The 12,066-nt window shown below is 35.9% G+C and overlaps 2 long non-coding RNA genes across 4 annotated transcripts in view, besides 1 other annotated feature; one reads left to right on the plus strand and one right to left on the minus strand.

The window, feature by feature from the left end:
• Nucleotides 1-12,066, minus strand: part of LINC01572 (long intergenic non-protein coding RNA 1572) — a 384,069-nt gene that overhangs the window by 211,757 nt on the left and 160,246 nt on the right. The gene's annotated exons all lie outside the window — the stretch shown is intronic.
• Nucleotides 1-12,066, plus strand: part of LOC124903718 (uncharacterized) — a 109,513-nt gene that overhangs the window by 66,713 nt on the left and 30,734 nt on the right. The gene's annotated exons all lie outside the window — the stretch shown is intronic.
• Nucleotides 9,635-9,704: an enhancer, noted in NCBI's record as "active region_11096". NCBI's record gives its function as "activates an Ori minimal core promoter by ATAC-STARR-seq in GM12878 lymphoblastoid cells {active_cell/tissue: GM12878}" and the evidence as "EXISTENCE:reporter gene assay evidence [ECO:0000049][PMID:35858748]".

Raw genomic sequence — 12,066 nt, forward strand, 5'->3', positions numbered from 1 at the left:
TTAGAATAAGAAACTGGATCATTTCTTTTAAGTCTTGTGATTATATTTAAATCTTATATACATGCCCTGAAATGAAGAGGTGTTCTCATAAATCCTTGCATTATGCAGGAAAATGTCAACTGCAGCTTTAACTAACATTCTGTGAGACAAAAGGAAGCCCAAAGTAGCTGCTCTTCATAAAGACTAGATGCTAATACACATGCGCATGCGTGCACTCACACACGCACACACGCTGTGCCTCCTTAGAGAGCTATTTCTATTTTCATAATATGGTTAAGTTAGGATTATCCAAGGAAAAAATTTCAAAGGATTTATCATTTAACACTTCAATGGAGTTACTAATAGGAATTATATTGAAGTAGGTCATGCCAAATCCACTCTCAAATGACAAGAGATCACATATAAGTCTGCAAACATTTCAGACACAATAGCCACAAGACCCCCATAATTATTACCAGGGTATATGGCCTAGTATAATAAAGATCAAATAATTCAAACTTCAAGCCAGACTTATAATTACTATCTTACTAAGATCTCAGTTAATCACTCATAAAGTAAGTAGATGGTTCATACTATGAAGGTTAATACAATCGTATTAACAATGAAATAAATATTTGCCTTTCTCTCAGTCCATGATACATCCTATTATTTTAGCCACAAACATACACACACATACACACACACACACACCCTATGGCTAGAAAAATATGAATTCAAGCTGAAGACAGTAAACAAAAGGAATTTATCTTTCCTAAAAGGAACACAGAAATAATCTCCCAAATTGTAAATTCCGAGTTCATGGAACATATTTGTCCTACTCTTTGGAAAATGCTTTCTAACTCATTCACACAGAAGTCACTGCAAAGTGTTAATTAATACTAATGATGAAATCTGATGACCTGTACATACCTGTCCTAAGTTAATTTGTATGTGGGGTGGGAGGACTCATATAAGCCTCTACTATTCCACAATGACGAAGAAGCATTATGAGGTTATACCTTAAAGAACAAAAAAGGTGATGCTTTCTGTAAAATTGTCTGTTTATAAACTAAGCATAAAATGTCAAAAGGTTCTTGTGTCTGGTATTCTAAATTTAAAAAAAAGTTCTTAGTTTATGATTCTTAAAATATGGGAAATGAACAAGTACTCACTGTCGTCTCTAGTCACCTATTCCTATTTTTGGCTGACAACATTTCTGGTTAGAGCTTTATTTGGAAGCTTTAACATATTTTAACTGTTACACATTACTCAGCTCAAACTATAGCCAAGATAACTTGCTTGTCAGTTTATTAACAGCAAATTATTCAAATATGTTCCATCGTTTGTGATTAAAGGGCCTGTGGTGAGAGGGGAGAGATGAAGGGAGGAACAAACAAAGATGGGGAGGGATTGTCACGGTTAATAATAAAACAGTATTTCTAAAAATTGTTTCCATTGTTGAATTAAATAATTTAAGTTTTAAGCTTAGCCCGAGACTCGCTTTTAAGAGTCTACATATTTTATCTGTGATGAATTACATTATTCTCACTCTTAGTCAGAGATGCAATATCGTCTTTATTTTAACAGACTTCTGTGGAGGTATGTGGTTTCCATAAAAAATGAGTAACGCGAATGTTGTCTTTTTTTAAAAGAGTTTCATTTTATTCTACTACTGAGATAGTAAGCTCTATTATCCAAAAGCCAAAATGCAAGCTAACGTATCTAAATGAAATATTCAGGAAATCTCTTTATAGTTCTTTCAGCATTCTTCTAAATAAGATTGTTTCTTTCCTATGTTCCTAGTCTAAAAACTTTAACTCCGTTCTCTAGAATGAAGGAAAACTATTGAAATTCTTACTTTCTCCTAAAATCCATGACTTGCCCATAATTGTGGGACCTGATGAATCCTCCTATTGACTGAAAATATATTTATATCTTCATTCAACAAACAATTCTCAGGCCAGGAGCAGTGGTTCACGCCTGTAATCCCAGCACTTTGGGAGGATGAGGCAGGCGGATCCCTTGAGGTCAGGAGTTCGAGACCAGCCTGACCAACTTGGAGAAACCCCATCTCTACTAAAAATACAAAATTAGCCAGGCATGGTGGCACTTGCCTGTAATCCAAGCTACTCAGGAGGCTGAGGCAGGAGAATTGCTTGAACCTGGGAGGCAGAGGTGGTGGTGAGCTGAGAGTGTATCGTTGCACTCCAGCTTGGGCAACAAGAGTGAAAGTCCGTCTCAAACAAACAAACATACACACAAAAAAACAAACAATTCTCAGCAATGGAAAGGAAAAATCACAACTGGATACTTCTGTGCATTTAAAATCATAATGAAAAAGAATATCATAATATGATATTTTCATGTAACAATTATATATGTATATATAATATATACACTGGATACTGAGGGATGACTGTATATATACACACACACATACAGTCATCCTTCAGTATCCCAGGGGGACTGGTTCCAGGACCCCCTGAAGATACCGAAATCCATGGATGCTCAAGTCCCTTATATAAAATAGTGTAGTATTTGCATATGATCTACACACATCCTCTCATATACTTTAAATCATCTCTAGATTAGTGATAATACTTAACACAATGTAAATGCTATGTAAATGATTGTTATATTGTTTAGATTTTAATGACATAAAAAAAGAGCTGTACATGTTTAATGCAGACACAACCATCCATTTTTTTCTGAATATTTTAAATCTGCAGTTGGTTGAATCCATGAATGTGGAACCCATGATATGGAAGGACGACTGTATATATCATATATATTTTTCATATATGATATTTTCATTATGTGAAAACATCATGTATATGTATACATATGGAGCTATATCTATATTGATATATTACTCCTTATCTTAATTTTATCTTCAACTTGCCTTATCTTGATTTTTACAATAATTATCATTTAAGCAGGGGAAGAAATACTATTTCCATTTTATAGGTGAAATGAAAAAAGATTCAGAAAGTTAAGTGACTGATTCAAACTCTCAAACCTATCAAGTAGCATAGCCAAGATTTGAACTAGTCAGTCTTTTCAGTATGTTTCACTGTGATAAAATTATAAGCACTGTTAGAAATGTTCAGAAAATATTTAATCAATTTCCTTGATAACATATTTCAATAACAATTTTTAGTACTATCTGTACCAACTAATTTTTATAGTAAGTTACAGCTCTGTACCTGTAGGCAGAAAAAGTATAAACTTTAAAGGAAAAAAACACTGACCATTTACATGGATTGCAATAGAAATCACTTTGCTAATGACAGGAAAGGTCTCATTCAACTAATGAGAATAATTAAACAGCATAAGAGCACTAAGACCAACTATATTTAATAATTGGATTTCTGCCCTTAGCATTTTTTATGACATTAGAAAATATGTTGATTTCTCTGTCTGAATTAAGATACATAATGCTTGTTAAGGTCAAGAGAAAATAATACTTTTTATATAGGGCATTATGGGGTCGCCTTGAAGACATTCACATCATCCCTCCTTTTGTTCATGTGCACATCATTGCAGCGGCTGGCTGTTTTCTATCATACGATCTCCAAAACAGAGTTCTATTATTACTGCTTTTTCTAACATCTCTCTATTAGTATCTCACTCTCTACCTGGGCTTCCCTGTCATTATCTCCTACATTCTGAGAAGTCCCCATGTTATAAAGAAATTAAATAAAAGGTGTAAGTATAGCTATAGCCCAAGCCAACACACCAAAACTCAGAGGCCAGATTGTCCCAAGGAAACCAACCTAAAAGTAATAATGCTAATAATATTTATTTGGATAATGTTTTAGAGATTCTTCCTATATGTTTAAAATTTATTAAAGGTAATTTAGACCATTAGCCTTTAGAATACTGCATTAACACACAATATCTATTTTTATTATTTAATCCATTATACTATATTAAGAAACTGATTATATCCTTTTAAAAATAACTACCGTTAACTCGCAGATATCTACTAATGTGTGATCCTGTTTGTAGATTAATCAAGGCCCCTTGATTTTCATACCCCCCCCACCCACTTGAGCTCTGGACAAAAAAAGAAAGTGGCAAAATATTAAATCAAGAAAAGCTGTAGAAAGGCTTTTGGAAAAAGAGATAAATTCACATAGATAAAACAATCTAACAAAAATCTTCCTGATTAGGTGAGGGGCGCCTCTGCCCGGCCGCCCCTACTGGGAAGTGAGGAGCCCCTCTGCCTGGCCAGCCGCCCCGTCCGGGAGGATGGTGGGGGGGTCAGCCCCCCGCCCGGCCAGCCGCCCCATCTGGGAGGTGAGGGGCGCTTCTGCCGGGCCGCCCCTACTGGGAAGTGAGGAGCCCCTCTGCCCGGCCACGACCCCGTCTGGGAGGCGTGCCCAGCGGCTCATTGGGGATGGGCCATGATGACAATGGCGGTTTTGTGGAATAGAAAGGCGGGAAGGGTGGGGAAAAAATTGAGAAATCGGATGGTTGCCGGGTCTGTGTGGATAGAAGTAGACATGGGAGACTTTTCATTTTGTTCTGTACTAAGAAAAATTCTTCTGCCTTGGGATCCTGTTGATCTGTGACCTTATCCCCAACCCTGTGCTCTCTGAAACATGTGCTGTGTCCACTCAGGGTTAAATGGATTAAGGGAGGTGCAAGATGTGCTTTGTTAAACAGATGCTTGAAGGCAGCATGCTCGTTAAGAGTCATCACCACTCCCTAATCTTAAGTACCCAGGGACACAAACACTGCGGAAGGCCGCAGGGTCCTCTGCCTAGGAAAACCAGAGACCTTTGTTCACTTGTTTATCTGCTGACCTTCCCTCCACTATTGTCCTATGACCCTGCCAAATCCCCCTCTGCGAGAAACACCCAAGAATGATCAATAAAAAAAAAAAATTAAAAAAAAAATAAATAAATAAAAAAAATAAAAATAAAAATCATATTTCATGACTGTGTTGGTATAAAAAAAAAAAAATCTTCCTGATTACAATACTTTTTTTGCCTGACTTTAGTACCTTCTCACTGAAGTATGAATGGTAAAGTAGAAGGGGTAGAAATACTGACTACAGAGATACAGATAATAGGGGTCAAAAGAAATGTGTAATGTTATTTCCTAACACACAACCCTTCTTTCAAGATCACATTTTCATGCATTTATGTATTAAAAAATAATTTGAATTTAAAAAACTGTTGGTATGTAATAAATAACTTTGTTGTTGACTTTCAGTATCTCTTTTAATTTATTCTATAGGGCTTCCCATGTCTGTGCATAAAATTCAGGGCAGATTTCATGTTTTTATTCATTTATAGGCAATCAAAATACTCAGCAATTAATATGTTTAGTCTAGCCTAGTATTAAAAAAGTTGAAGTCCTGTTATAGGCACCTGCCATGAGAGAGGGTGGTTAGAATCTCACTTGCAGATCCTTTGATTTAATTGAGGCTCTTTCTCAGCTTACTGCTCCTGAGAAGATGGCAGTTCAGTTGACTTTTGGGATCACTGGAACCCTCCAGGCAGTCTATGGAGTTAAGACAACCTTGTATCATCTTTTTTGTGGATATGCCCTACCTCTGATCCATGGCATACACTTAAGCAACATTTGCCTAACAGTCACCTGTCACTCCACCTTCAAAGCAGCTGGCCAATCAATCTCATGGCTCTTTAGATTTCTTAGGCATGTGTCAGCTAGCTGGTCTTAAATGGCAGGGGTCACTTAACTAAGTTCTACATCTCTTAAAGCCTTCCTCTCTTGGATTCAGATAAAAGGAGACCTTCCTTTCCTTCCCCTTGGAGGTGTGATGGGACACTTAGCACACTAACAATTCTCTCCAAACATCCTCCTTTCCTCAATTTCGAAACTCCCAATCCTTTTATATCCTTGACATGATTAAGTAGCTTAAGAATCACATAACTGTTTTTTTTCCCTTCTGCTCATGTAAGAACTGGAGGGTGTCTTCATATCTCACCTTGAAATCTTCTGTCTTAGGGCCATAGCTAAAACAAACAAGGAGAGTCCCATTTTAAAATTCTGTTACACATGGTTGCAAACTTGCACCATACTCAAGAGGTTAGGGGAAAGAATTGTTTTATTTTATTTTACCAAATAAAGAAGAGCAAATGCTAGCAAATAATTAGAAAATTTTTATTGCTGAAGATCACTAAATGAACAGTACTTACTTACCAACATGTTTTCATTTGCCATCCATATGCTATCTTCATTAACAATAAAAATGTAAAATTATTGATGATTTTCAGGTACCAGGGATGAATGCTCAAATGCTAAGAAAACATTCATACTATTCTGCACCCAAAACTACTAACCTTATTTCCATAGAGGAATTTCTATATAGAATCCAGAGGTAAACAAGAGCCCAGGGAGAGGGAATTGTCTGTCCTTTCGGCAACATTATCTTATTATAAGCTCTTAAGAAATAGTTAACCTCATAGACATCAAACAGAGATTTTATATCCAAGAAGATATTGGCTCCAGGAAAGTGTCAAATTGATTCTATGCAGAATGAAAATTGGGAGCTGATTTTAAGTCAACAGTTTTATAACATGGAGAAATGATGTTAAATGGATTCTAGTGGGTTTAAAAATTTTTCTCCAGAACTTTCAATAGTGCTTGATGAGAATCAAGCTTTGACTTCCATAGCACTTGGGTTTGAAATGCTTCTGGAACATCAGAAATCTTACTATTAATATTTCAGTATGACCCTTTTCCATTTTTGTGAACATCAGAAATACATTAGTTATATCACTATGGAACATTTTCCTTACAATTTGCCATTTTAACAAGTCTTTTTCTTGGCCCTTTCAAATTTTACTTGCTCTTTTACCATTATCTGTTTTTAAGGTAGCTTTAATTGGCTTGAATTTTAAGTATTAGGGCAGGGTTTATATTACAAAAAAAGAATAATTTCTAGAAAAATTTAATAACTAATTAAAACACTTTATTACATTTCATCAAAATTGAGAATAATATAATTTAGAATGCAATCTATCCAGAAACTGATCTGTGAGCACTTGCTTGTGGTTACTGATTGTCCCATAGACTTAGAGAAAGAACTATATGAACTATACTTGGGTACACAGTGAACATGTTAAAACTAAGACGTAGCATTAATGTAAAATTCTTGGCAGAAGTCAAACCTTTAAACATCATGTGAATATAGATTTTCATATCTAATTTTATGAAGGCTTTTTTTTTTCTTGCCAGTTCTATAGTCTAATATTACTTTCTTTCTGCATTCTCTTTCACAGGCTATGGCCTTTGGCAAAGACAATGACAGGCAAATATTTATAAACCATAGATTAGTTATAAATTTGATCCAATCAAATGATCAGTAAGCACATTCTTATTGCCAGTTGTTATTACCTCTTTTGGAAAGGTATTGGCAACTTTCATTTTGTTAATTTCAAATCAGACAATTTCCCAGAACTAACTGAGGTTCCAGTGCCCAGCGGAAAGCTAAAATAACCTAAATTTGCTTCTTTTCCTTCTTCACTCCTGTCTTGTGTGTGTATACTTATTTGTGTATGTGCACAAGTATAAAGAAATAATTATTTTTGCAGCTTTTGGCCTGAATGCTTGTCACTCCATTTTACATAATTCAATTTACCCTCTTCCAAAAACAGATGTTTCAGTTGCAATCTTTGCCTCTTTAGAATCTCCATACAGGCAAGCTTAGCTAATAATTTTTGATTAATATAGCCAAATACCAACTCCTACTTCAAACCCCCTTTACTTGGAATACTATCATCAGATTGGTTTACAGAGAGAAGGAAATAACAATGAGGTCAGGAGGAATGGAGATGGGGTAAAATAGCAATAAAAAGTAATTATATAAAAATGCTAAAGGTATAACATCTGCTTTTTTGCTTAGCTCACTGAGCTTGACAGTTTCAGATTTATGCTATTGTCCATGTTTAAACAGATACAGAAAAGGGAAATGGGAAAGAATGTTTATGTGAGACTATTAAATAGTGCAGGGAAAATACGAGTTGTTATTACACTGGTAAGGAAAAGAGAAACTCAGTGAAATTTCTTTCCAGAGATTTGCCTTTGTGATCTGCAAGGTGCTGTTCCCCTGCTTACATTCCGTTACCCTGGCAACGCACTCCTGTAAAATAAAGATTATTAAAGCGCATATGATTATTTTGCTGCTGAGTGAATAAGACAAGCCGCTTCTGAAATGCCTTATCAGAGAAATTCAATTTTAGGCCAAATTGTGTTTTTGCCTCCTTCTAGCTTTTTTCCTCCCTCCCCCCACTTCAAATAAAACCATCATCTTCACATTTACTACATGATATTTTGTTACCCATTCACACCCTTAGTATTTTAAGTCAGTTTTCTTTTAATTTCATGAAAGCATTTTCCCCAATTTTTTATAGCTCTAGTCTATTTTCCAGCTATCTACCATCTGTTTGCAAATCAAAATTACAAAGCAATGTGCTCTTGCTTTTATTTTATTATATAGTAATAGTAGAAATATTGGGTTCTGTACCAAACATAAATGTATGTATTACACATTGGCTACGCAATATTTGACCAAAGGATGATGCAAAAGGCAAAGATAAGGAATGTGGTGCCATTTTAAAGTCTGCATATCCAACTGTATTGGTCATCCTCACCCTTAAGTTGAATGTCTTGTGCTTTTCCATTTGACATTGCCCTAAGGTGATGTTATAGAGCTGGGAAGTTTTATAGCCACGTTGACAGCCAGTCACGCCTTTGTTGCTTGGTGCCTCTACATTTGGAGAAAAGATTCTTGAGAGCCCTAAAATTATTTAATACCAAACTTATAAAGTTTGGTATTTTATAAGTATTTTAATATTAGCCAATTTCTTGGAGATATAGTAATGGCAACTTTGCTAAAACTATCTAGTGATTTCATTAGAAACTACAGCTTTTATCATAATTAGGGTCCGAGCAGAGGTCAACAAAAAATAAGTAAATTGGTAATAGTAAATGCATATTTACTGTTTCATGCTATCTGTGTGAAGAAGTTATCATTTAAAATCTTTTAATACAAGAAAGAGTTACATCCGCTTTGAAGTAGAGGTGGAGGGAATGAAGTTTGTTCAGAAAAAGGCAAGTTTCCAACAAAGGCCACATAGAAGACTCCTTACACATCTGTTAAAGCTAACACGAGACATGAATAGATAAGAACAGCCCTGGAGAAACCTTCATCCTGTACTCTCCGACAGTGGATGGATGAGGTGGATGACATTGCTTCTACAGAGATTGTTTATGGGACATTTTTCCCACTGCTACAAAACACTGGCATATAACCTAATACTGCTGTGTCATGAAAAAAAAGCAGAAGTACAGTGTTGATAATCTAATAACATGAAAACATTAATATTTGCTCTGTTAACTTATTTTCAGGCCCAACCAAGCACCATACTCCTACGTTGATTAAGCATACAGGCCCATTGGCTTTTTATGTAACTAACTACAAATCACTGCTTATTACTAAGAAATAACATTGATATTTCACAAGTTCTAGACACTCTGAGCACATGTAGAATGAAATATCAATTCTTCTAATGAAGCAAATCAAATTTAGTATTGTACACCCAATCTTTGGTATGTTAACACCACCATGGAACTTATGACTGTAATTCACTCCCAGCACTGCCCAGAAGGTGTCACCACAGCCTCATTGGCTTGAAGGACTTGGGGACATGTGGGGGAGTAGAAAGCAAGGGGAGAAAAACAGACACAAAGAAAAAAAAAATCTTCATGCAGACAAAGGAATATAAGACAACTACTAGTTGTAATATAGTGCCAAATACAGAATCACAAACATTCACCCCATGCTAAAACTACAAAATTACTACAGGAGAAAAGTGGGCCTCTACTTGTCAGTGAGAGTAGAAAGTAGGAGATTCATGGAAGGTGTTACTTGAGGTAGTCATTTTGTAGAAAATAAAAAGCAGGTGATAAATAGAAAATATTCATGTACTGAGCCTGGTCCAAGCTTCTTACCTAAAATGGTTTGCCTCCTTATCACATCTAGTTGGATAAGCTGCACTGGGCCACATAAAAGGAAAGATAAAAGAACAGCTGGGAAGAGATGCTATGAAGAATCAAAGAATAGAAAACACAAAGTCTTTTATTGAGAAGCTGCACAAATTAACTCCAAATTACCGCCACAGTCAGACAAGAGGAGGCTTCAAGGCACAAAACTTGTTGCTGCACTCCATCTTGCTTTATTGTGGTGTCTTCACTCATGTAGCTAAAAGCCATCCCCTTTATAGTACTATATCTTTTAATCTCTGCTCTTCCCCCCTGTAGTTTAATTAAAAGACAATGAACCTTTTAAAGTAGTCAAATGGAAAATATAAAATTGCACCATTCTATCAAAGCTTAAGATATTCCTGTTCTCAGAGCATGAGAAGAATTCAAAATAACATACTTTGTATTTTACTACACTTCAGTCCCTCTGTGCCATTTCTTCTTCAGGGCTCTTGATTGGAATAGCTATCTGAACCAGAAACGCAGCTCACCCTCAGAATGATAAACAGAGGCAAAATTAAAAACAAGTAAACAAACTAAAAAAAAAAAAAAAAAAAGTCAAGTTAAATCAATTAGATCTTTGTACCTGATTTTTTATTTTTAAATAATATTATTGTAATTCTGCATTCCTTCTATGTTTAACTGACATAGGCCTAAAGATTAGTAGTGTTTCTTATGTAAGTATTATTTACTCAATATGTTGTCAGTTTTAGGGCATGTGGGCTAAAATAAGAAAAATATAGTAAAATGTTATTGGATGATAAGTAGGCCTGAATGCTCAGCTTTCCGACAACTCCACAGCCTAAATCTATTAGTTTTGGCAAAGGGCACCAAGACAAATTCATGCCGTTTGAAATGTTCCATGGGAGTCTTTAAAAATGAAGGTCTTGTCTACTCTTTATGGACATTAAAATGCTTCATCCCAAGGACCCCTTTATAGCAAATTGCAAGCTGTTCTGTTTTATCTGCTTTGACAGAATGAAGGGCTGAGCTGGCCCTAGAGGGATGGGATACAGAGTCTGAGTAGCTCAAACTTGAGATTTCCAATAAACCATCTCCTACAATTAGAAGAAAGGCACAGAGGAGATTCATTTCAACAGATAGTTCCAGCCCATTTAGAACTACTCTATTCTCCCCTACTTATTTCATCACTAAAAATCTAACAAAAATCATGTCCCTCCAATACTCCACTCCAAACTAGCACCTAAAACTCTAATAACCAGTCTAGTTGAGCTTTGGCATATATACATCCTTCTTATTAGTCTCTTGATTCTGATACTTATTATATTAATTCCCGATTTCTTATAACTTCAAATCCTTTTCAACACTATAATTACCCAATCATTATTCTTTAAGTTCAATTGTCCAGTATAGGTTGCCTATCATTCTCCATAAAAGAAATACTTGCAGATTTCAGTTAGTTAATAAATGCTGCCAGGGCATGAGACTTAAGTTTAATTCTTCATCTATAGATGCCTAATATAGGAAACCTGCTAAAAACTTCCAGACACCACTCAATTCATTAATGCCAACTCTCTCCCTTTCTCTTACCCTTCTGTAATTAGGACGTCTCTTTTTCGAGTGTCATCACATATGATAATATATGGAGAGTGTGAACTGTTAACATCAAAAAAATGATTCTTCCCTTTAGAATGTAAGATTATAATAACTAATCCTATTTTTAAAAGTCCCCAAAGCCACATACTCATAAGTATACCTCTATGTAAGTCAGCTTATAAAAGTAATAAAAATGAGGGCCAGGCGCGGTGGCTCACGTCTGTAATTCCAGCACTTTGGGAGGCGGAGGCGGGCGGATCACGGGGTCAGGAGTTCAAGACCAGCCTGACCAACAAGGTGAAACCCCATCTCTACTAAAAATACAAAAATTAGCCAGGCGTGGTGGCACGTGCCTGTGGTCCCAGCTACTCGGGAGACTGAGGCAGGAGAATTGCTTAAACCCGGGAGGCAGAGGTTGCGGTGAGCCAAGGTCACGCCACTGCACTCCACCCTGGGCAACAGAGCGAGACTCTGTCTCAAAAAAAAAAAAAAAAAAAAAAAAAGGAATAA

This window comes from Homo sapiens, chromosome 16 (assembly GCF_000001405.40).
Source record: "Homo sapiens chromosome 16, GRCh38.p14 Primary Assembly".
NCBI classification, from domain to species: Eukaryota; Metazoa; Chordata; class Mammalia; order Primates; family Hominidae; genus Homo; species Homo sapiens.